The 24,988-nt window shown below is 56.8% G+C and overlaps 1 protein-coding gene across 19 annotated transcripts in view, besides 3 other annotated features; it reads right to left on the reverse strand.

The window, feature by feature from the left end:
- SYT7 (synaptotagmin 7) overlaps positions 1-24,988 on the reverse strand; it is a 74,674-nt gene that overhangs the window by 5,317 nt on the left and 44,369 nt on the right. For 8 of the 19 annotated variants that reach the window (XM_011545343.3, XM_011545340.3, XM_011545341.3 and 5 more), the window contains 5 exons: positions 13,959-14,094; positions 8,885-9,155; positions 5,333-5,502; positions 4,797-4,911; positions 4,045-4,244 (listed from right to left, as the gene is read on the reverse strand). In XM_011545343.3, coding sequence (XP_011543645.1) covers positions 4,045-4,244; positions 4,797-4,911; positions 5,333-5,502; positions 8,885-9,155; positions 13,959-14,094 — 892 coding nt within the window. Of the gene's footprint in view, positions 1-3,055; positions 4,245-4,796; positions 4,912-5,332; positions 5,503-8,884; positions 9,156-13,958; positions 14,095-14,173; positions 17,409-19,113; positions 19,237-21,629; positions 22,268-23,180; positions 23,847-24,988 lie in introns of those variants that run through there. The other 11 variants (XM_011545337.3, XM_011545338.3, XM_011545335.3 and 8 more) reach the window with 6 other exon arrangements.
- Positions 10,933-11,432: an enhancer, noted in NCBI's record as "H3K4me1 hESC enhancer chr11:61297435-61297934 (GRCh37/hg19 assembly coordinates)". NCBI's record gives its function as "activates a minimal SCP1, AML or CMV promoter by ChIP-STARR-seq in naive H9 embryonic stem cells {active_cell/tissue: H9 hESC(naive)}" and the evidence as "EXISTENCE:reporter gene assay evidence [ECO:0000049][PMID:30033119]".
- Positions 14,912-15,851: an enhancer, noted in NCBI's record as "H3K4me1 hESC enhancer chr11:61301414-61302353 (GRCh37/hg19 assembly coordinates)". NCBI's record gives its function as "activates a minimal SCP1, AML or CMV promoter by ChIP-STARR-seq in naive H9 embryonic stem cells {active_cell/tissue: H9 hESC(naive)}" and the evidence as "EXISTENCE:reporter gene assay evidence [ECO:0000049][PMID:30033119]".
- Positions 15,852-16,790: an enhancer, noted in NCBI's record as "H3K4me1 hESC enhancer chr11:61302354-61303292 (GRCh37/hg19 assembly coordinates)". NCBI's record gives its function as "activates a minimal SCP1, AML or CMV promoter by ChIP-STARR-seq in primed H9 embryonic stem cells {active_cell/tissue: H9 hESC(primed)}" and the evidence as "EXISTENCE:reporter gene assay evidence [ECO:0000049][PMID:30033119]".

Raw genomic sequence — 24,988 nt, forward strand, 5'->3', positions numbered from 1 at the left:
ATGGCCTTCCCTGCCCTATCTGTTGGGTGATGTCCAGCCCCCCTGAATTATAATCATTCCCAACTCCTGGGCACTTGCTACATGTGAGTACTGAGCTAGGGACTTCATACACATAGATCATCAAATCCTACAACTGTGAGGTAGGATTATATGATTATCTCCATTTTTCAGATGGGGAAACTAAGGTACGAAGAGTTAAGAGACTTACCCACAGTCACAGGGTTTATAAGTGGTGCAGAGGGATTGAAATCCAGGTCTTTGGAGCTCTATGCTACCGGCCTAATCCTGCTTCGCAGCCTCACCCGGCTGCATGCATGAATCCCTCCGGAACCCCCAGGATTGGCCCAGCTGACCTCAGCTTTGGGACTTGGGGGTGATTAAGAGTATGAGCATTGGAGAAAAAACAGGTACATGGGGCCTTCTATAGGACACCCGGCCAGTATTCCTTAAGACCGTTAAGATCATAGAGAATGGGAAAGACTGAGAAACTGTCAAGGGCCAGAGGGGACAGGGGAGACATGCCTATTAAATGCAATGTGGTGTCCTGGATTGGATGCTGGGACAGAAGGAGGACATTAACGGAAAGACTGGTGAAATACAAATAACGGCCGGAGTCTAGTTCACAGCAACGCAGTGCCCATGTTGGTTCCTCAAGCTGTGACGAATGTCCCATCAAATGTGAGACGCTAACAACTGGGGAGGCTGCGTAAGGGGTAGATGGGAACTCTCTCTACTATCTTTGCCACTTTTCTGTAAATCTAAAATTATTCAAAAATAGTGTTTTTGTTTGTTTGTTTGTTTGTTTTTGAGACCGAGTCTCACTCTTGTCGCCCAGGCTAGAGTGTAATGGCACGATCTCGACTCACTGCAACCTCCGCCTCCCAGGTTCATGTGATTTTCCTGCCTCAGCCTCCCGAGTAGCTGGGATTACAGGCGCCCGCCACCACGCCCGGCTAATTTTTGTATTTTTAGTAGAGATGGGTTTCACTATGTTGGGCAAACTGGTCTCACACTCCTGACCTCGTGATCTGGGCAAACTGGTCTCACACTCCTGACCTCGTGATCTGGGCAAACTGGTCTCACACTCCTGACCTCGTGATCTGCCCGCCTTGGCCTCCCAAAGTGCTGGGATTAAAGGTGTGAGCCACCACGCCCAGCCAATAAACAGTGTATTTTTTTTTTTTTTTAAAAAGGATGGTTGTGGCCTCAGTGGAGGAGTACAGTGGCTGACGCCCGTAATCCCAGCACTGTAGGAGGCCAAAGTGGGAGAATCACTTGAGCCCAGGAGTTTGAGACCAGATTGGGTAATATGGTGAAACCTCATCTTTACAAAAAATACAAAAAAATTAGCTGGGCATGGTGGTACGTGCCTGGAGTCCCAGCCACTTGGGGACTGAGGTGGGAGGATCACATGAGCCTGGGGAGGTCGAGGCTGCAGTCAGCCATGATTGTGCCACTGCACTCCAGCCTGGACTACAGTGAGACTCTGTCTAAAAAAAAAAAAGATAGGGAGGTCAGGCACGGTGGCTCCTGCCTATAATCCCAGCATTTTAGGAGGCCAAGGCGGGCGGATTGCTTGAGGTCAGGAGTTCAACCAGCCTGGCCAACATGGTGAAACCCCATCTCTACTAAAAATACAAAAATTATCCCAGCATGGTGGCAGATGCCTGTAATCCCAGCTACTTGGGAGGCTGAGGCAGGAGAATCGCTTGAACCCAGGAGGCAGAGGTTGCAGTGAGCCAAGATTGTGCCACTGTACTCCAGCCCGGGTGACAGAGTGAGACTCTATCTCAAAAAACAAAACAAAACGAAACAAAACGAAAAGGATGGGGAGCAAGCTCCAGCTCTGTAACACATGGTGGAACTTCTTTTAGCCCCAGACCTTCCTCTGTAAAGCGGGCTGATGACTGTACCTGCCTCACAGATAGCTGGGATGGTGCATGTCATGTGCTCAGCTGGGAACAGTGGCCTGCCTCTGTGTGGTGAGTTCTCTCAGCCAGCGGCTCCATCCTGCTGGAGCTGGTTAACTATTCGGAGGTCACGGAGCTCTAGGGCCACTGTGGGCCTGCCCTGCTCTGGGATTGCCCCCATGGCAACCTCAGCCCAGCATGATACTGATAGCCTTGGATGATGCCAGGCAGACAAGGGGCAGACTCTTGGCTTCCAGGGGCTGAGCAGGAGCTGGGAGTCAGAAGGATTCAGAGATCCTTGGGCTCCGTAAGTTACCAGGCCAAAGTGAGAACAAATCCACATTTGCTTTGGTTCAGCCAACAGAAGGTAGGCCTGTTTCAGAAGGAGCTCTAATTGGTATCTAAGGAATATCCGACACCAAGAGGCGAAGCTTCAAAAGAACATCAAAGGAGATATGGTCACTTGGCCTTTGGGCTGAGCTGGTCAAACGGGGTGCTTGGCAAGACCCGAGCCCTGGCCAGGGAGGGCCACATACTTTTTCTGGAGTATGAGTGGCAATGTCCTGGGGAGTTGTCTCACCTGTGACCACAGATTGGCCAGTCATACTCCCCGTGCCATACCTGATGGCAAGCAGGGGAAGCTCTCCTCTTTTAGGCCAGGCTGCTTCCCTCACCCCAGCAGGTGAGTTCTCCATTCCCATCTGTCTGAGGGTTGCCTCCAACTCAGCTCCCTTCCCTGTGGGTATCCAGTCCCCCTTTCCCTTTCCCCCACACAGGATAATGCCCAGGTATGTGCCCCTCACTCACTCCTGGCATCTCCCCTTCCTCCATGACTGCCCTGAGCACTGGTTCCTCACATACTCCTGGTCAAACTGTCCTGCCTGAATGGATATACATGCCCCTTTATTATCATACTAGCTAACATATGTTCCAAGTCCTATGCTAAACAGCTCACCTGTGTGATCTTACTTAATCCTCTCAGCACATTGTAAGGGTAGGACCATCCCACTCTCATTTTGAGAGGAGAAAATGAGGCTCAGAGAGGTTACAGCGTTAAAAAGTAACGCTAGGATTTGGACCCAGGCAATCTGACTCCCGAGCCCATGCTCTCAACACTAAACCATAAATAAACACAGGAGTAGACATTTTAAGGTAGAAGCATGGAAGGGTTTATGTCACAGAATCCCGTCCTGGGAAAACTCAAGGTCAGGTATGAATTTTTTGGTTACGTGATATGAAGAGATCACTTTTTTTTTTTTTTTTTTTTTCAGGCAGAGTTTTCTCTGTTGCGCAGGCTGGAGTGCAGTCTTGCAATCTTGGCTCACTACAACCTCTGCCTCCTGGGTACAAGGGATTCTCCTGTCACAGCCTCCTGAGTAGCTGGGATTACAGGCACCCGCCACCATGCCCGGCTAATTTTTCTATTTTTAGTAGAGACGGGGTTTCACCATGTTGGCCAGGCTGGTCTCAAACTCCCGACCGCAGATGATCCACCCGTCTTGGCCTCCCAAAGTGCTGGGATTACAGGCATGAGCCACTGTGCCCGGCCAACTTTCTACAAGAAGAACATCCACATACCTCAAGCAATTCTTACGCCACCCTGTAAAGTTCTACAGGGACAGTATTAGTTGCTCCATTTTACAGATGAGAACACTAAAGCTTGGAGAGGCCGAGCCACTTGCCCAAGGTGATATGGTTGTTTATCGGCAGATGGAGTGGGAACTGAAACGAGGTCTTTGGAGTCTGACTGCAGCTCCCAACACTGCCCCACGCAGCTCACCCTGTGCAGATGGGACCCCGGGCAATACTGCTCCAACGTCATCATCCTGTCCAGTAAACCTTTCTTTTGAGATCCAGGCCATTCCTCTCTTGCACTCCTTTTCTCCCTGCTCAGCTGGCAGTCTGTCCTGAGCTGACTTACCCATAGGAGGACACTCAGAGAGGAACCCTAGGGAGGGGGTCATCTCATCCCCTTATTTTTGGATGAAGAAACAGAGGCCTGAGAGGAGAGGAGACTGATCCCAATCTCTCCTGGTGTCCAGCCTGTGCCCGTCCACTACCCCCGCTGCTTCTTTTAAGGAACGGAGCCTCACTGGTGCCAGCAGGTGCACCACACCACCTGCCTCGCCCCTACCTTGCCGATGACGTCATTGCGGCTGAGCTTGTCCTTGTCCATGACAGTGATGATGATGGTCGTCTCCCTCAGCTTCTCCGTGGGGATATCGAAGGCGAAGGACTCATTGAAGATGGGGTTCAGGTTCCTCTTCATCGTCACCGTCTTCTTCTTCTCCACCCGCTTGTCCTTGTACATCAGCCATACCTTCACGTAGGGGTCTAGGGGAGGGAGTGGGGAAGGGTTAGAGGGACCGTGGGGGAGGGACTTCCTAGGATCCTTTTCCCCTTCCAGGAATGGAAGCTGAGGCAGGAGGGCCGTGTGCTTTCCCCAGAGGCAAGGAAAGACCCAGGCAAGAACAAGAGGGACCTGGGAGAATCAGCAGATGGACCTTAGCGATCACCTGGGGCCCTCCTATTACTACCAATGAGGAAACTGAGCCCCAGAGAGGCCAGGTCTTGCCCAAAATCTCAGACAAGTAGCATCAGAGCTGGGGATAGAACCCAGGTCTTCCCACAATGTTCCCTCTTTCTGATTCTTGGAAGAACATAATCCAGGATGATGCTGACATCTTGATTCTTGAACAGAGTCCGAGATGAGGGTGCTCCAAAGGGGGGCCCCAGGGTCTCTAGGGTAAGGAGTGAGGACTGGAGGTCGGGGTGTGGCGGGTTGGGGTGAGGACCACTGCAGACCCTGCTCTCCACATCCGGTGTAAACCTTGTGTCACCAGCACCTCCCCGGCCCGCCCATCCTCTGCTGGAGAAGCCCCGTACCTGATGTGCCCCCGATGTCCATGGCTTTGAGGTTCCGGGCTTTGATGATGTTCACGATGATGGAGTTGGCAGAGGGGTTGTAGCAGAGAGACAAGAGCAGCTCCCCTCGGCTCCCCTGGGAGGCACGACAGGAGGGGTGTGGGGAACTAGGCTAGCAGAGCTCTCTGATTGGCCTAGCTGCCCCCAGGTCCCCTCTACCCTGACCTTGGTGCTTACCCATGCCCCTGTCTGTCACCTCTGTCTCACTCTGTCTCCCCCCATCTGGCAGGTGTGTGTACTGCCCCTCCCAGGGTCACCATCGCCTCCCTGTTCCCTGAACATAGCCCTAGGTTCCTTCTTACAGATCGGGTGAGTCCCCCCAAGTGCCAAGCACCAATGTTCTGACTGCTAGCGAGGGCTGAGCTCCATCGGGTCCACCCATCTGCACCCTCTCCCACAGCCCTCCTGGCCTTCCTAAGGTTGACAAGGGTCTGGGACCAGATCTCCCAGCCCTGCCCTGCTGCCTGTCCAGCTAAGACCCACCCATGGGGCCTTACACTCCCATCGCTGCATGGCTTCAGATCCTTCCAGAAGGTCTGCATCTGGGTCAGGTCCACCTTGTTAAGGGGGATGGACACCTCCCCAATGGGGTCGTTGCGGCTGAAGCGGTCATAGTCCAGGACTTGGAGGTAGAGGATCCTCTGCACCACCTTCTCATAGGGAAAACCTGGGGGTATAGATGAGTGTGAGTGAAGAGGGGGACAGAGGGGCTGCACGGGGCCCGGGAGGCAAGGAAGGCCCTGGGAAGAGGAGGCAGGCCCTGTGCCCTCCCGCTGCCACCCCACCGGGCCAGCAGGCACACCGGATTGCAATTAGACCTTACTGAAGTGCTAGCAAGAACTGTCACCGTCTCATGGGATTCCCTCAACAATTCTCCAAGGTGAATGGCATCTCGTCCATCTTACAGATGAGGCTCAGACGGCTTAAAGTACTTGCCCAGACTCCCAGCTAGTAAAGAGTAGAACTGCGATCATCCATTCACCCATGCACCTTGTGTCCATCTCAGTGGCTGAGCAGCCTCTGCCAATCGTCCCGAGGCGGGTCTGGGCAAGTGGCTCTGTCTAGGTGGCCACAGCTGCCAGTACGCAGGCCCCAGGACTCAGGGCAGAGGGACATGGGGAAGCATCGGTGGGAGGGAAAAGGCAAAGGCACAGAAGCAGGAGGTGACAAGTGTCCTGTGACTCCACACCCCTCTCCTCCTGCCTGTGCTTCCATCCTTCCTACCGCAGCGTCCCCTTCTCTACTGCCACCTCCCTCATCCGAGCCGCTGGCACCTCTTGCCTAGGCAGCTGCAAGTGTCTCCAAACCGCCCTCCCCGCATCCACGCTTTCTCCTACCGTCCATTCTCAATGCGGCAGCCAGAGAGACCTTTTAAAAATAGAAATTCCATCATGATATGCTCCTGCTTAAAGCCTTTCAATGGCTCCCAGTGCACTTAGAATAAAAGCCGGGCACCCTACCTTGGCTTCAAGTCCTTCCACAATTTGGCCCGGCTGTCCTCTCCCTGCTTGGCTTGTGACCTCTCTTCACTCAATGACTGGGCTCCAGCCACATCGGCCTCCTTCCTGGCCCTTCAACACCCCGACTCCTCCCGCCTCAGGGCCGGGCGCACACTGGCCCCATCATGACCCCCCTCCTGGCTACTCTCATCCTTCAGGTCTCAGCATTCTTTCCTGGCACCCCAGAGAGTGTCGGATCCCATTATCCGCTCTAGCACCTTTTTTTCCGCAAAACATAACACACGCGGTAATAGATTTCTCTGTCTCTTTCCCTGATTTTTGTCTGGCTCTCCCGGAAGGCAAGGATTCCCACAAAGGCCTCTCTGTTACCAACCACTGGCTCTCGGTGCCTAACACCGCTTCTGGCACATAGTAGGCACTCAATACATATTTGTTAAGTGAATGCATAATTGAACAGATGAATCAATGCCAATGAAATGGCCTGATGGAGCAGCAGGACTGTGCTGAGGTGAGGTGTCCGCTAAGGTCAGAGGGAGAGGAGCAGAAGGGGCTTGGATGGGATGCAGAAGGGAAGAGGGGGCCAGGTGAAGGTCTGAAGCCAGGAGTCATTAGCTCTTTGGAGGCTTAGTCAGAGGTGGGACTGGCCCAGGAGGTGCCGGGGGGCACAGGCCAGCCTGGAGGCCTGAGGTGAGGAGATTCTGAAACCAGGTATGAGCAGGAAGGAGGACGCCTGGAACCTCAGCCTGGCTGGTGCAGAAGATGAAGGGAAGGAGGAGCTCTAGAAGATTCCAGCACCTTCCCCCAGAGACTCTGGAAGCACCGAGGAGCTCTGACAGGAGCAGGTGAGCTGGAAGAGGAGACTCTGAATTTGTTCAGGGTCCCTTTCCTCATATTGTGGGAAGCTGTGTCTTGCTTATTTCAGAGCCTCCCAGGGACCTTGCCCAGGGGACCCTTGGCATCAATTTAGGTAAAATGCATGAGGACAAGTGTTCTGGGAATATTGGAAGCTCCAAGAGGTCACTGCACCCCAGTCAGCTCTCATCAACACCAGAGGAGGCAGGCTCCTAGCTGGCAAACTCCTACTCATCCATCAGAACCCATTTTGAATGGCCCCTCTTCTGGGAAATGTTCTTCAGCACCACCAAAGGGAGCTCATACTGGCTTCCTGCAGCTCCTGTCATGCTGTGTGTGGCTGAGTTATCTACACATCTGGGTCTCCATTAGGCCAGAAATGCCCTGAGGGCCATAATGGTGCCTCATTCTTTTCTACATCCCCAGTACGTAGAAGAGTGCCCAGCTCATGGCTGTTGCTGGGTACATGCTCGTGGAAGAGACCGGAGGATTGGAGTTCTGCTCAAAAACTTCGCCCTGCCAGCTGCCTACATATACCTCCAGACAGCTGAACCTCTTGCTGGTTGAGCTATCTCTAAACGGGCCCTCATGGTGCCTGCAAAGGAGGGCGTCCAGAAACACATGGACACTCACTGCTCACCCTCAGTGCCATTTAGTGGGTGACCTGGCTGTCATCTTGCAGAAGAGGTGGGGTGCTAAGTGGCTGGGAAGGCAGGTGGGGAAAGGTCCCTGGGGTACACGGTGAAGATTCTGGAAGGCTAGGGCTTGGGGCAGCTGGGGTAGGGATTTACTCTCCCTGGTTGAACCGGGGGCCATTGGCAAAGGGTTACGGTTTGTCTAAGCGGGGTCCTGGCACCCAAAGGCCCTGGGATAGAAATCACTCCTTAATCACACGCCCAGCTTCCTGGTTACCTTGAATCCTCAGAGATAAGAGATAAAGACCGGCCTTCAGAGAGGGCTTGCAGGAGAGAGAAAGGACATTTGTCTCAGCGGCCTCCAGGCATGGTTCAGAGCTGTGGTTCCCGTCCCATGCGGGGGAGGGGGTCAGAGAACGGCAACAGATGGAGTGTGTTTAACAACCTGGTATTAAGCATTTGCTGGGTGTCAGGCACTGTTCTAAGTGCTTTTACAATTCACTCATTTATTGAACCCTCGCTGTTATTATCTCTATTTTGTAGATGAGGAAACCAAGTCATAGGGAGGCTCAGGAACTTGCCCAAGGTCACGCAGCGAGTAAGTGGCAAGAGCTGGGATTCAAACCCAGGCAGCCTGGGCCACAGCCTGTGCACTGAACCACTATGATCTGGTGGCTCCAGAGTGCTCCAGCTCTGAGTCCTACGGGTGCCTCCCTCCCTCCCTGCCCTCCTCAGGATGAGCTCTGTGGCTGGGCTGAAACACCAGGCGGTGGCCCAGCTTCCCTCCTCGGCCTCTGGCTGTGATGCTGGCTCCATTGGGCTCCTGTGACCTGATCCCAACTAGACACAAAACGCATCAGGTTAACCGGGCCAGGACGTTGCCTGTGTGGGCGTGTGCGAGAGCACATGTGTGGATCTGTGCCTGTGCACACATGCAGGTGTGCACATAAGTGTATCTGCTTGCATGTGTGTTTGTGCATTTGTGGGCCTGCAGGTGTGTGTACACATATGTGTCTGTGCATGTGGCCACAAGTGTGGTTGGGTAGGGGGATGGTAGACAGCAAGAGGTGACCATGGCGGGGGAAGGTGGCACTAGACTCACCTTCAAAGAGGAAGGTCTCGTTCCAGTGGGGGTTCAGGTTCTTCCGCTTCACCTTGGTCTCCAGCTTGTGCTTCTTGTCGGGCAGCAGGTAGATCTTGACGAAGGGGTCGCTGGTGCCGCTGAAGTCCTTGGCCGGCAGCTCCTGGGCCTTCATGATCTTCACGGTGAGCGTGGACTCCTGGAAGTTGTAGCCGACACTGAACTGGATCCGGCCCAGGTTCTCTCGGCTGCAACCCTCGTGGGCCTCATCCTCCTCGGAGCCTGGGGAGAGCTGGGGGTGGGGGAGAGGCCGGCAGGGTTTGGGGAGGATTCTGCTTCCCCCATGTCCCCACCGCTGGCTAGCACGGGTGAGAGGCCAGAGGCGGTGGCCCAGCCCACACTCACATCCCACGGACGCTGCTCAGGCTCAGAGGGCAGGTGCCTTGACCAGGGTCTCCCAGGAGGGGAGGGGAAGGGGGAGGGCAGAGCCGAGACAGCCCTGTCTCCTGAACCTCAGAGTGGTATGCACGACACTCACTTCCCAGGCTCTCCTCGCAGCCCTGGGTCTGCTGCCTGCCCCAAGCTCCAGCTCAGCTGCCTCGCCTTCCTGGCTGCAGCTTCCCTGGCGCGTGCTGGGGTTCCTGAGCCCCCCAGACCTCCCTGCCTTCTTGTGACACGGTAGGGCCAACTGTGGGAGGCACCGACACAAACCTGGGCTACACAGCAGATGAGGGAGGCTGTTCACATCACAAAAGAGTTTACCGCAACAATTCTTTGGAAAGTGACTCTCTAGGGTGCGGAGAATGGTGTGATTTACAAAATGAGAGAGGCAAGTTTTCAGGAGCAACGTCTGTTTGTGTAAGGCAGAATCACTAGGGACAAGAAAATTGCAGACTCCCCAGGCCCCGTCCCCAAGCAGTTTGACGATGGGGCTGGTGTGGGCCTGGGCATCAGTGCTGTGTAAAAGGCGCCTCAGATGACTGTACCGTCCATGGGGGCTGAGGACTGCTGGGAGGGAGGGCGCATGGCCTGACCCAGCAACAGACAGTCACACAGAGGCAGGGTGAGCATCTCATCCCGTTCTGACATTGAACCACAGGAAGCAGCTGGGAGGAGGGTCTCCCAGCCACGTGTCTGAACCTGTGAGCACACCAGTAGTACCTAGGAGGTTTTAGAACCCTACCCACCCCCCAGCCGCCTGAGCCCCAGACCACTGACCACAACAGACCCAGTTAGGGGGCTGTATGGCTCAGGTACCCTGGCTCGAAAATCTCCCGTGATGACTGGATGAGGGACAGAAGTAGGACCCTGGGTACCACAGTTAAGAAAAACTGCAGGCATCTCTTCTCTCCCCAACTTCCCCTGTAGAAACCTGCTTTGTGCCCTTTCCTTCATCCTGGAGAGGCAGCCCTAGGCTCTGAAAGACTAAATAATACAGATAATAATAATGCATCAAGTGGGCTCTTACCATGACCAGCGACTCTCGCATCGCCGTCTCCTTACTGAATCCTGACAATAGCCAGGCGAGGCAGGTGTCACCACCCTCTAGCTGAAGAGACTGGTTCAGAGAGGTGAAGTCACATGGCCAAGGCTGACGGCAGTAGGAACCCTCTCTGACTCAAAATCCTGCTCTTTCCACTAAAGCAGGCCCACACCCCAGGGCAACACTGAGGTTTCCCCTCAAGCCGGCAAAGACCCACAGACACCGTGCCAGGTGAAAAGCGTCGGAATCACCCTCATGATAGTTTTTTGTTTTTTTGAGCCAGGGTCTCGCTCTGTTGCCAAGGCTGGAGTGCAGTGGTGCAATCCTGGCTCACTGCCACCTCCACCTCCCAAGGTCAAGCGATTTTCATGCCTCAGCCTCCTGAGTAGCTGGGACCACAGGGGCGTGCCACTACGCCTGGCTGATTTTTGTACTTTTAGTAGAGGCAGGGTTTTGCCACGTTGGTCAGGCGAGTCTCTAATTCCTGGCCACAAGTGATATGCCCGCCTCAGCTTCCCAAAGTGCGGAGATTACAGGCATGAGCCACACACCCGGCCTCACACTCACAGCAGTAACTATCTTAGACTGGCTGGCCGCCCACCTCACCAGACCCTGCCCTGTGCCCTGTGCCTTGTCCTCACTGACCTCTTACAACATCCCAATGAGGCAAGCACTCCCGCTGGAACACGTGGAACACAGCTGGAACAGTTTCCCGGTGTTCCAACTGTGGCTGCGAGCACAGACAGGTTAGGTCACTTGCCTCAAGTCACCTGCGATTGAATGGCCAGTGGGAATGGAACCCAGTTTATCGGCCAGGAATCCTGAGTGCCCTTCCACCTGCGCCTTGCTCTTGCCCTCAGATCTACAGTCTGAGGCTTTACCCCGGTCCTGCCTAGTTGGGGGCACCGAGCTGCCTTACAGCAGAAGATGTTCCCTCCAGCCCCCACCCCTTGGCCGATCCAGACAAACCTGCAAGCGCCACCGCAGGCCCATTGAGAATGTGGCTTTCCTGCCCACAGCCTGCTTTTTCCCGACGCTCTTTTCCCTGCTCATGCCAGCCCCACACCCTTTGACCCTGTTTTTACATCTGCAGAGTGGGGACCATGAGACCTACTTTGCGGGGTCCTGGGAGAGCTAGAAGGGGTTCCTTCTAGAGTTCTGCCCCGCGACCTGACCCACTGGCAGAGGGATCGAGCACCTGGGGCATAGCATGGGTAGACAGTGCCAGCAAAGATCACTCGCCCTCCCCCTTGCTTCTGAAGTTGGGGTGGAGTTGCTGGTGACTGAAGCCCAGCTGGCCTCAGCCCCACCTGAGGTCCCTCTGGTCCCTTGGCTCCTGGCTGCCAAACAGTGTGGTCTTGGGAAGGCCTGGGCTGGCCAGGTAGGTTTCACCTGGGAAAGGGGTGGCAGCTCTATGCCCACTCCCAGCCTTCTTAAGCCACAACCCTGAGCCCTACTTACTCAGCTGGGACAGAGCCATCTCTGTGGCAGCCAGGTTGGCCACCCCATCACAGTCAGGGAAGGTGCTTCCTGAGCGCTTGCACCAGCAGAAGTCAGCCTCGAAAAGCAGCAAGCCACCCCTATACCAGGGCAGGAGGTGCCCAGAAGCAGGTGTGGCCTCGCCTCTTCTCAGACACCTCTGCCCCTCAGCTCCTTCTTTGGCCAGCTCTGGGTGCTTAACTCTTGTCTCTTGACCCCCAGATTCCACAGCCCAGGGTCCAGAGACCAGGACAGGCTGAGGTCACAGTGGGCTGATTCTGCCCTGCTTATCTTATCATGGCTGTTAACATCAACGACCTAGCATTGGCACAGAGCTGTGCAATTAGACTCTGCCCTCCCACCTCTGAGCATCCTCCCAGCACAGGAGAGGGAGATGAGGCCTGCCCTTCCTTCCGCTGGCTGCAGCTGTCGGCCCTTCCCTGGGGGCAGCAAGGGGCAGGCAAGCTGGCTGGGAAGGGGCTGTCCCTTCTGGGAACCTGGCTGCCAGGAAGCTGTAACCAATTAAGGGGCTGTGCAGGGAGGCAGGGTGGGCTGTGGCAATGGCCCATCCAGAAGAGAAGACAGCTGGGGCCAGTCTTCCTGGGGGGGGGAAGATGGAAGGAGGGCAGTGGAGGGCCAGACACACAGGGGCCTGGTGGGCAGGGAGAAGGGGAGAGGTGGGGAGGCCCAAGGTGACCAGATCTAGGATGTGGAAAATCTGATGCTCTAATGTGGATTCAAGAAAACCACAGGATAGACCGGGCGCAGTGGCTCATGCCTGTAATCACAGCACTTTGGGAGGCCGAGGCAGGTGGATCACTTGAGGCTAAGAGTTTGAGACTGGCCTGGCCAACATGGTGAAACCCCGTCTCTACTAAAAATAGAAAAATTAGCCGGGCGTGGTGGTGTACTACTGTAATCCCAGCTACTCGGGAGGCTGAGGGAGGAGAATCACTTGAGCTCGGGAGGCAGATGTTGCAGTGAGTTGAGATTGTGCCACTGCACTCCAGCCTGGGGGACAGAGTGATTCTGTCTCAAAAAAAAAAAAAAAAAAAAAAAAGCAGGCTCTTAGGCCCCACCGAAGGCCCATTGACCAGGAATCTGCATTTTACCAAGGTTCCCGGCTGATTCCTGTGCACGTAGCAATTTGAGAAACGCCAGGCTAGAAGGGGCAGTGGGGATGGATGGTTAGAGCTGGCTGGAACCCTACATGGCAGAAGGGTGGGGGCTCTGGTGCCAGGGCAGTAGGGGAGGGCTGGGAGCTCCCAAGCCTACTTCTTTCTCTCTACAGAAGGGAGGGGTTGAATCCAAGGAGATGAAGTGTCCCAGGTCAAGTCCAGTAGGAACAGAGCAGGTGCTGGGTTCCCAGCCTCATCGCCTCTTCAAGCCTTCCTGAGACTTCTGAGCTAATCCCCAGTTTTCTCCCTCCAGGGCCTCTTTGGAAAGTACAGGTGGGGCAAGTGGCTGTGACTCACTGCTGCCCCCCTGGGGGCACCATGGGAACCACAACCTCTGTCTGGGCCAAACAACCTAGAACTAGGATCCCACAGGGTTGGTGGCATCTGGTGGGGCGTGGGTGTGGACAGGAGCCCCCATCACAGCTGTCCCCTCAGAGGAGCCGGGACCAGTGGATTCCTGCTCTCCTGTTCTCAGGGGCCACCAGCCATGGGAATGGGGCAGGTCACTGGGCTAGGCATTCTACCCCAGACCTCCAATTAAGGGGACATCACTCTCAGGAGGGGACATCTTCTGCCCTGAGTCCTCTGCCCACCAGCCTTTCCCTCTAGGATCCTGAAAGTATCTTGCATGAGTGGGTTTTCTTTGGCCCCTTCTCAATCCACAAAGGGATCCAAGCAGGATGGGTATTCTTATTTTCACTTGTCAAAGGAAGAAACTGAGACATGGAGAAGATATTTTGGTGAAAGAGCTGGGAAGCAAACCCAGGCCTTGGACGCTCAGTCACCAAGCGCCGAGTGGCCACCATGCTGGGCCTGGCTCTCCAGGCTGCTTCTGACCCAGTTCCCTGCCTGGCCACTCCCATGCTGTTAATCATTCCCACACACATCCCTCTTCTTCCTGCCCCTGGCCTCCCAGCCCAGTTCCTTGGAGCAGCGCAGGCTCCCTCATTCTCACCATGAGCATCTCGCTGGTGAGGGAGTTGACGAGGTCTGAGACGGAGGAACGTGGCTCGGTCCGGCGGTCGGACTCATCGTGGGGTGTCTGGCCTGGCACGGGGGCTGTGTTCACCGCCTTCCCTCCTGCAGGCAACCTGAGGGCAGGGGAGTCCAAATGAGATTGGGCTGGGAAGTGAGCTGCGTTGGGCACCCCGGCCTGGGGGGTGGCAGGACCTTCTCTGAAGACCCCAGCAGCTGCCATGCCCGGCGGGCCGGCAGGAGCGGTACTCCAGTCCACGTGGACACCTGGTTTTCCCTGGAGACCCATGCCCGGGGCCCATTCTCCTTGCAGCCTCTACCCCAGGCGACTGTGGCTTAACTACTCCTATAGGGGATATTTTGGGGGGTGTCCCCATTCTTCCTGTTCCCCAGAAACCCCCCACCCTCCAGTCATTGGCTTGCATAGTCGGTCTCTGAGGTGGCCACTGCCCCCAGTCCTCAGAGGCTTGTTCTATCCCATCCGCCCCCAGCCTGGAAGGGGGAGGCTCCACCGTGGTGTGGTGTGTCCAGGTGCCTCTCCGCGTCATTACCCTCTGCAAACACGCCCAGAATGTCTGTTTCCCAGATGCCCCACCTGTGTTTGCTTGGGCTCATCAAGAGTTCTCTTCCCACCCTCCAGACGTGAGACTGACCAGGTGAGGTCAGGACAACTCTCCACAGTGACAGAGTGTTCTGTATTTGTGCTGTCCAGTGGAGCAGCCACATGCCACACGTGTGCACTTGAGCATTTGCAATGTGGCCAGTGTGGCTGAGAGCTGAAATTTTAATTTTGTTGAATGTAAGCTCATTTAGTTTAATGGCCCCATATTGGATAGGGTGAGCCTACACCCCCTTGCTCCTCAGTTCCCATCCTTCTCCCACTTGCTGAAGACTGTGCATTTGGTAAGGCTCTCACCCAGGGTCACAGAAAGACGGGCACCACCGAGAAGCCCTGTCTGTACCTGACTCCATGCCGTTCCCAGGATGCTGGGTTCTTTGACCCAATGGCTGGGTGGTGAGCCCAGGCTCCGTTCAGCTGGGGGTCAGGAAGGGGGCACTAAAAGCCTGCCCAGGGACCAGGATGGAATGTCCCATGAGGAGGAAGAGAGGTAGGGGTAGGTAGGGAGGAGGAGACGGGGGACCAGTAGCATGAGGCTCAGGACAGGCTAAAATAGAACAGCTTTGAGAGCACACAGCCACAAACTGGGAGCCACACGCTGAGGGTGGACATGAGCCATGGCCCTCTGGTAGAGACCAGCCTCCAGCACACAGGTGACCACGACAGGCACAGACAGACATGCATGGAATATGCCAGGCCCTGGAGGGGAGACATCAGGATCCCAAAGCAGGGTGCACGTGCGCACACACACACGCACATGCATGCACACACATGTACACACGCACGCACACATGCGCATACACACACGCACACGCACGCACACACGCACGTGCGTGCATATGTACACACACACATGCACATGAGCCCCACAGACATCCAGAGGGGCAGGGAGAGGATGGCAGAGGCCACAGTCAGGCCAACCACAGCAGCAGTGACGACACACATACAGCGATGGCACGCAGGGATCCCGAGAGGAGATGCACTGGGGAGACCCAGGCATGCCACGTGTGCACGTGAAGGGAGACAAACTGAAACGGAAAGGGCAGGGAGTGGTTTCAGGGCCCAACATCCTGATTATCAGAAGCACGATACACCTGCTGTGACAACCTGGCCCTGCCTCTACAACACGGAAACGCCCACTCCACCCAGCGACACGCGGGCGCCCCTCCCAGAGGGCCATGGCACACATGGACATGTGGACACGCACGCACCACATACACACACACACACACACGAGAGGACACGTGCTCACACGGGCAGGCAGGGGGAAGGAAAGGAGCCCGAAACAGCTGGAGAGGTAAAGTCAGGTTAGAAACAGAGTGGAAGAGCAGGGAGAGTGTGAGATTGACTGCTGAAGATATGAGAACGTTAGAGTTATTTGGCCACGCTGCAGCGTCGGCACAGCTGCCAAGCAGCCTGGGAAAGATAGTCAGCGCCACTGAAGCTGTCGGAGGTCACAGGACAGAGAGACAGAGGTGAGAGGCACAGAGAGAGGCAGAGGGAGAGGCCGAGGGGCCCATCACCGGCCCAGGGCAGCCCTGTGAGGAGCAGATGGGAGAAAGGAGACAGAAGGAGAGAGAGGCCAAGAAAGTTAGTCAGAGACGGGCGAAGGCTGCCGGGTGGACGAGGGGACAGGGAGGAGCGTGCGGCCAACAGGAGAGGCAGAGAGGAGGCGGGGGACACACACCGTGACAGAGGAACATGGTGGCTTCAGAGTAGGGAGAGCAATGGGGGTGGCCTGGTCCCCGCCTTGCCCTGTCCCCCACTTGGGGTGGGGGTGGGCCGCGGTGGAAACCATTTGGATCCCAAAGAGCAGTGGTGAAACGATGGCAGACAGCATGAGGGGGTGGACACGAGCAGAGTGGCTGAGGGTGGAATGGGCGCAGCAGGGCGTGGAGCCAGGGCCTCCCTCCCTCCCGGGAGCGCAGTCTGAAGTGTGGTGCCGAGGCCCAGGAGCTGAAGGATCCCAGATGGGGGACTTCAGGGACACCAAGAATCGTGGGGACAGAGGCAGTGACTGGCCCTCCCATCTCCCGCTGCTTGTTGGACACACTCCCACGCTGCTTGGAACCTGGAATGGCCACTCCTCCTCCCGGGACGCTGTCTCCCATGAGCCTGCTGCTCACAGACCAAGGGGGCTGAGTGTCCTCCCCGGTGACAGCCAAGGGCCACCACCCCTTCCTCCAGAGACATCTGGTCAAGGGGTCAGCTGGGGAGGGAAAGGTGGGGCTGGGGGCAGAAGGGCAGACCCTGGGTCTAGAAGGAAAGGCTGAAGAGGGAGGGACAGCCGCTCCAAGGCCACCACTCCAAGTTCTGAGGGTCCAGGAGCTCAGAGGGGTGGGGCCCTAAGCTGCCAGGTGCCCAGTGGGTGGTGCTGGTGCCAAGCTTTGGGAAGGGGAGAGTCTGCTGGGAAGGAAGCATTGGATTCTGGACCCCTGTGGCAGCCCACCACCCGAGAAGCACCCCAGTGGCCATGAGAAATGTTTCCAGGATGGGTGGGCATGACGAGGTGGGAATGGCACGGTCCACTCGGAAAGTCAGGCTGGGTGGTGGCGAGGGCACGCGGCCTCCACCCCCACACCCGCCTTTCCCAGGAAGGCAGGGGACAAGCTGATGTGAAGATCAGAAGGGATGGGTGTGTTAAACATGGAGTGAGACCTAAGTGGCAAGGAGGTAAAAATAGACTGTGGGTGACAATGGAGCCGGTTCATTAACACATGGGTGATGTGAAATCTCGTTTCCAGCCTGCTTCTGCTCCCTCACGCTTCACACCTTTCCCAGCACCAGTCTCAGCTTCTTAGTGGGCGTTCAGAGGACGCCAGCCACCCCCTGTGTGCCTTCTCGCCCCTGGCCCCCGGCCCTCCCAGTGGCCCTCTGACTGCCCTGCAGCCCAGCCTTGAGATCCTGGCTCAGGAAGTCACAGCTCCTGTAGTGCCCAGGTGGGTCAGGGGTGGCAGACTCCGCTCCTCCAGTACCCCTGCACATGGGCTCAGCGCCTGACAGCATTTGTGCCACTCAGTGAAAGACCTGACCCCACTCTCTGGGGACTTTCAGCCTTGCCCACCACAGACCATGCAACTGTGGACTCGGGATGGGAAGAAACTGGGAGGGGTGGTCTCCAGGAGCCACCAGAGGGACAGGCAAGCCAGCCATCTTGCCTCTCAGCCTATCCATCCTCCCTAGCCCACAAGCCCAGGGCAGCAGCCTGGGACAGTCCCTTCTGGCCCCTAGGGGCCTCTCAAGAGCCTCAGGATGGCCTGTCCAAACAGTCCCTGCCCAGTTCACAGGACACATGCCCCAGCCCAAAGGCCTGTTTCCCTCATGAAAAGCTTAGCATATCCGAGCCTGAGGGGCCATTCCTTAGAGGTTAGCCTGTCCAATCCTTCACTGGACAGATAAGTGAGCAGAGAACCCAGAGAGGGGCTGTGACTTGCCCAAGGCTGCAGAATGAGGCTCTGGCAGAACCAGAGCTGGAAGGCAGATGTCTGGGCTGCCAGGCCCCATGCTCCCTTGCAGGCCTTTGGTCTGATGGGAAGCAGACCCAATCAAGGTGACAAGCCCTCCTCCCATGATTCCCAAAGGCTAATTCATCCTGGAAACCACAGGTGTGGTCAACCCAACCTAAGGTCAGGCATCCACTGGCCCCAGCTGTGGGATGCCGCCTGAACCCTGGGACCTCCCACCCTACCCCTTGCCCATGAGCAGCGCCCCACCCCCTCCCTGAGACGGAGACAGTAGGAGATGCTTCCCTGAATTCCTGATAGCTGAGGCTGTGGCAGTTTAAGTGACCAGCCTTCTGCTTGGCCTGTGCTGTGGCCACACAGGCTATGCCCAGTCTCCACAGGGTCCCGAGGCCAGCCGCAGTGAAAAGGAGCCCAACAAAGCCAGGCCTCACCCTTGCTCAGGACGGCTGCCTGCACCGCTCCGGGCCCTCCCCAGCTCCCTCCTGGTGCCCGGGCTCAGGGGAGAGCCTTCTGGTTATTTCTGGTCACCAGGCCTCTCCCATGCCCCAGACCCTCCCACCATGGGCTCCTCTTCCATCAGCCAAGCAGCCCAACAGGACCTCCAGGCAAGAGGGAGGTTGAGGGGGTGGGGATGAGGGAGAACGGGCTGGCGCCCCTTCCCTTACATCCCCCCCGCCCACCAACCACCAGAGAAACAGGGATTTCCAGTTGGGGTGGGGACAGAGATGAAAGATGGAGGGGCAGCAGAGAGGAGCCAAGCAGGAAGATGGGGCAGAAAAGGCTGCGCTTGCTCCGGGCCGGGGCAAGCATGCCAGAGAGCAGGCCTGATCCAGAATGGTCCCAGGATGGCCGCAAGTGGCCTCAGACCCCAGGGACACCACCGAGGTGGCAGTGCGTGAGGGCACCGGCTGGGGAGGGGGCTTGTCCTTCCGCTCCAGCATCCGCTGAAGGCACCACCACCTCGTCCAGCAGCCGGGGCCGGTCGAGGCAGGCGGCCTCTCCGCGCCTCCTTCTCTGCCGCCGCCGCCGCAGGCCCTCGCCTGTGCTCGTACCTCTTGTCCCCCTGAGCGTTCTGGTTCTGCTGGGTTCCTGGGTTTTGCAGGTCAGGGATATTGGCAAAGTCATCCTGTTCCGAAAGCCCTAAGACCAAGGATAGCACCACCATCCGGCCTTCCCTGCCCGGGGAGGGCAGCCCACAGGCCAGGGTGAAACGAGGAGGCCCCGTGGGCGGGGGCAGGGGGGAAGGAGAGAGAGGGAGAGAGAGAGAGAGAGAGAGAGAGAGAGAGAGAGAGAGAGAAAGAGAGAGAGAGAGACAGAGACAAAGAGAGAGAAGAAAAAAGTGTAAGAAACTGGCCCTGCAGGAAAGAAAACAAACTTCAGCAGTGTCAACAGTTGCAGGATAGAGTGGGGAGAGTGGAGGCAGGGAGGGAGGGGAGTTGACTACGGCCTGAGACTCCACTGGTCTGAGCCAAGAGCAAGATTCTCCAGAGCTAAACTGCAAGGGGCTGGGCAGAGGCCTGCAGAGGTGGCCTGTGGCTGGGACAGTCCCAAGGGAACACGGGGGATAGGGTGGGGGGAATGGAGCACAGGCCCTGGGACCCCACAGATTTCCAACTGCTAATGCATGCCCAGCTGGACTCGCTCTGACCATCTGGGCCACTGGGAGAAGAGGGAGGGGCTCCGTCACTATCCTGCACCGGCACCGCGCAGGCTTTGAAAGTTTCGAAATCCAGTGGGCGCTGCACCCTGTCCTTATGGAAGCCCTTCATAGACAACGCTGTGTCATGGTCAACCAGATGTCCTTGAAGCCAGGTAGGGTCTAAGGAGCTACCTCCCCTTGGCTCCTGGATATACAAGCCCATCAGAGGAGAATGAAAGTCCTTTGTGGTATATGGCAACTCGGCCATAGTGGCTGTCTCCTGTGTCCTCCTTGCTGGAGATCCAGGGAATGAGCACCACCGCTGAGTCCAGGTCAAGGGCCTTTCATTGGAGAAGAGGTCCAGAAGGCACCACAAGCCAAGGCGGCGAGAAAGTGCAGGAACTTGGCAAGGTCTGGAGAAGTTTTGGCAGGACTGCAGGGAGCCTGTGCCTGCAGTGAGAGATCGTGCTTTGAGGGAGCACAGTCAAGGCTGAACGGGGAGGGGGTAGGCAAGAAGGCGAGACTCTCTTGGAGTGGACATGTGGGCAGCCGTATGAGGCCAGGTGTGACACCTTTAGTAGGGGGCATTCTCAGAGAACCATCGGGCAACTTGCCAGGGTCTTTGCGAGGTTACCCGCATTTGCCAGGGGGGGAGAAGGGAGAATCATTGGCGACCCTGCTGTCCCTGAAGACCATCAGAGTCCGCGAGCGTTTTCTGGGTGCTTTGTGGAGCTTCTCCAGCGTTGGGCCTCTCATCAGAACAAAAGGAGAGGGAGGGGTTCTTGGACAGGCCAGGCAGGAAAGCTCGTCTCAAGAAGGGCCAAAGGGAAGACAGTAGGGCTGACGGAATATTCTGGAAGGGAGAGGATGCTGGGTCAGGAAGTCTACCACTTCAACCACTGTGAAGGGAGGCGAGGTTTACAGAGGAAGAGCTTGCTCTAACTTCTCAGAGCAGTTGTCAAACAGGGAACAAACAGGCGAGAAATAGCCTCTGAGGTGAGGGGCGAGGGCACGAGGGTCTTGGAAAATGGGACATTACCTCTGGGGTCTCAGTGAACGGAGGGAGCTAAGTGGCTGCTGTGCCCCTCCCTGTCTTTGCGTCTTTGGTCCTGGGCACAGTTACTCCAGGCTGACCCTTGTGCTGGGATCTAACTTTCGGGAAACAACTCTATACCCTCCCTCAGGACGAATCCTCCTTTTCTTTGTTTTCTGCCCACCGGTACTGTTTCAGAGTTGGTAAAATTCCATTTGGCTGCTCGGGAGCTAGTTGTGCTGGGGGAAGGCAAACTCAGTGAAAACAACATGTTTTTTCCCCAGTTAATGCATTTTTCAGATATTCCTTTTTCTCTTCTTAAAACCAGAACAGCTCCTCTGCATAAATTCCCGATTCGTCACTCTCTCCAGCTCTGCAGGACGCGAGGGTTAGGATGAGGGGCACGGGCTGGAGAGTGGAGGGAGAGGCTGGCAATGTTAGGGGAGTCACGACCATCAAGCAGAGGGCTGCTGCCCTCCCTGCAAGGGGTGGGTGGGATCATGGGGCGTCGGGACAACCCTCGCCACCTGCCTCTCTACTGGAGCCACCAGCGTTTGGGCAAGTAAAGAGCCTCAGAAACAGGGCAGCTAAATTGTAAAGCAAGGGGCAAATTACGGCCCACGAGCTAAGAGTGGTTTTTACATTTTTAGAGGGTTGTTTTAAAGAAAAAAAGAATATGTGATGATCACATGCCTCTTGCAAAGCCTAAATTATTATCTGGACCTTTCTAGGAAAAGTTGGCCGACCCTTGAGGTGAGCTCTGGAGGTTGCCAGCAACTAGGGGGACATGAGACTTGTCCTGGGGCACAGAGCAGGGACAGAGGATGCTGTTGCATGCATGATGCTGGACGAATCCCAGTTAGTTGAGAAGGCAGCAGGCAGGGAAGAGATGGTACCCGGGTTCCTGGCAGGCCCCTGGCCCAGTTTAATGGCTGCTGGAACAGGAAGTAGGGTGACAGCTGTGATAAGACAGTCTGAGGTGGGGAGGAGCAAGGACGTGCAGGGGCCCAGCAGGCTCTCAGTCCTGTTCAAGCCACGCAGACCCAATTCCCTCGACTCTCCAAGATCCACGCCTGGATCACAGCCTCTGTCCCAAAACAAACCGCCACCTGGAAGACCGGAGGCTCTTCTGGGCATCTCATCTTGTGCAGGCGTCCAGTTAGATTCCTGCAGGTCCTTGAGTGGGGTAGAGCCCCAGAGAATATGGTGTCCTGATTTGCCAAAGAGTCACAGGCAGCATGTCTTGCTGGCCATGGGCCACTCGCACGGGTATGGGAAGCTGGCATGGCAGGGCCTCTTCGGGTGGGGTGTCTCTCCCAGGGCAGTGCTCCCATCTGCCCGGGAAGCCCTGGCTGAGGTCTCAGAGGAGAGACAGGATGCTCCGAGGAACTTGCTTGCCTTCAGAATCCCTATATCTTGCCAATGCTTCCCTTTCCTCCTCCCTTTCTCCTCGCCCAGGCTTAGTGTGCTGGTCTCCTGCTCCGTGAAAAGTGCTCCCAGGGAAGACCTGGGCGATGGGAACAATCCCCAGGGCCTGGAAGGAAGCTCACGTTAGGGCAAAGGAGGGGGGTGATGTTGGGGATGGCAGCCCAGACCTGTCTTAGGCTCTGAGAGTGGGGGGCAGATGTCCAGAGAGATGCTGGGGAGGGGGCTTCCTGGGTGGGGCCCCTCCAGGGAGAGCAGGGGGTGGGCGAATGGCTGGTGGGAATGGTTAAGGTTAGACACTGATGGTGTGTTGTTACTTCTTAGACCTATATACTTGAAAGAAAGCTCCAATTTAGAAACAACCTTTTCTAAAGCTTTGGGGCAACATCTCAGATTTGTCCTCAGGGGATGGGTCATTACTGGAGGAAGGAGACTTGGGAAGTCAGGGCGGGAGCTGGAGGACAGGTGGCTATAGAAGGTCAGAGAGATGGGGGAGGGCTGGTGGCAGGGACAGGGATAGAGGAAGTGAGAGGGAGGGAGGGAGGGGTGTGGGCCAAGAAGGCTAGCAGAGTCGGGTTACAGGGGAGAAGTAAATTGCAGGGGAGGAGGCAGGGCTGGAGATGAGTAAAAGGGATGGGTTTTGGAGCAGAAGGGGGAGGAGAGAGGTCGCAGGAGTGAAGGAAGACTGGCCAAGAGGCCAAGAGCAGCCTGGGACTAGCTGGGGAGAAGAGATGTATCTCAGGGCATTGTCCAGTGTCTCCACCTTTTAGGGGGAACTTCCCTGAGCCCTAGAGCACTGAGGGGCAGGGGTCCTCATAGGGAGGTGGCTGAGAATTCTTCCGTGGTGGCCTTCAGGCAGGAGCCACAAGAGGCTAAGGAGGGGGCTGCCAAGTCTGCTTGGCACCCTGCCAAGGGGATGGAGGGCCGGGAGGTACACACAACCAGCTGCTCCCAAGGAGATCTGGGGGGCAGGAGGCTGGGTCAGGGAGGTGGGGGCCGGCCCGCTCAAGGGGAGGACTTACAGGAAGGATTTCATGTCCAAGCCTCGGTTTCGAATCTGCCCCACCACGTGGTCCCAGCTGCCTGGGTTGGAGCGGCTGCGGCCCCCTGCCGCCCGGTACTTGGAGCCGGCCGAGGTGCCCTGCCGAGCCTGGCCCCGGCCATAGGCCCGGGGGTTGGGGCCTGGTGCCGAGGCCATGTGGGCCTGCAGCTGGCCCAGGCTCTGGCTGGTGGTGGGCTGGCTGGGCTGCCGGCCCCGCTGGTGCTGGCTCAGCGGCTGTTGCAGGCTCTGCTGCCGCATCAGGGTGCGGGGTCGCTGGCATTTCGGCTCTCCCGTGGAGCTGGGGATAGACTCAAGGGTAGTGGCCGTGGACAGGGTGGAGTCCTCGAAACTTGGGGCAGGTGGAGGAGAGGAGAGAAAGGAGAAGCAGATGAAGGGATCACAGTGGAAGAGAAAGAAGCCGAGGGCCAGGACTAGGAGGCCCCAGTGCAGGGTGCGCGCTGCCGGACCTCGCCAGGCCTCCATCGGAGCTGTCGCCACCGCCGTCGCCGCCACTGCCTCGCCCAGGAGGCTGCAAAGCCCTCGCGCCCACCCTGAGGCCCCAGGCCGGCTCTGCCCACCCACCTTCTGGCCCTGGCTCAGCTAGTGCCAGAATACCTCCTGGCTAGGCCGACCTCCCTGCCGGTCTGAGTGGGCTGCGAGTGCTGCTGAGGCTGCGTGGTGAAGGCAGGTCCCCTGGGCCCTGCAGCTGCCTGTCATGTTGGAGTGGGAGGGGTAGAGGGAGCTGCTGTGGCCCCTCCCGCTATTTCGCTGGGGGACACCAGGAAAGTCTGCCTCTGTGTTCTAAGTACTGGCATCCTTTGGAGACAGGAAGAAATCCAGGCCAGTGCAGAGCTGGCCTAGTAATCCTGGGGAGGCCGGGGAAGCCATCAGTTCTTATACTTTGTCCACAGAGGCAAGGAAGCGGCAGACCTCCACCCTGTGGCCAGCACAGCCTTAGAATTCAGGGTCTGGCGTGGATCTTTGCCCTCTTTTCAGGGTTCTTTGTTTCCAAGGTCCAGCATCCTCTCCTGGGACCTTGGAAATATCTCCCAGTCAGAGGACTGGACCAAGAAAGAGTGCACACAGGGTGGAACCCAGTATCCCCTCATCCGACACTTCACCGCAGTTCTAACAGAGAACAGGGTGACTGTCTTTGATGCATCTGCAAGGGGATGCTCTCCCAAAGGCCCATCAGTAATCTCTGAAATGCACTGGGAAGTGGGGCAAGGACAGAGAGGAACTAGGACATGGCTGGTCAGATGCAGTATAGCCTCAGAGAGACCTGGGTTCAAACCCCACCTCTGCCACTTACTAAATATGGGACTCTGGAAAAGTGACTCCACCTCTCTGGGCCTCAGTTTCTTCATCTATGAAATGGGAGTAATAAAATAATCCCCGAGCTTCCTCTGTCACAGAATTGCCATGAGGATCTAATGAGGTTGGGCTGTGTTGAAAATGCTGTATTGGTAAAAGCTCCCCATGCCAGTGGTTGGAGTCAGAAGTCCCTGGCCTCCCCTGGAGAACCTGTCTGCTTCATGCGCTGGCTGGAGATTTCACCATATCCCACAGGCAGGGCCAGAGCCAGGCTGCCCCCAGGCACCAGAGCGGAGCCAGAGACTGGGCTGAATGAGCAGCTTTGGGTGAATCATTTCTCATCTTGGAACTTCAGGGGTTCCAATCTTCTCCTCCTCTGTCCCTTCCCTCCACCTCTCAATCCAGTGGTCTTGGGGAGGGGTTGGGAAGCCATTGCCTGTGGGCCACATCTAGCCTGCTGCTTGTCTCTGTAAA

This window comes from Homo sapiens, chromosome 11 (assembly GCF_000001405.40).
Source record: "Homo sapiens chromosome 11, GRCh38.p14 Primary Assembly".
NCBI classification, from domain to species: domain Eukaryota; kingdom Metazoa; phylum Chordata; class Mammalia; order Primates; family Hominidae; genus Homo; species Homo sapiens.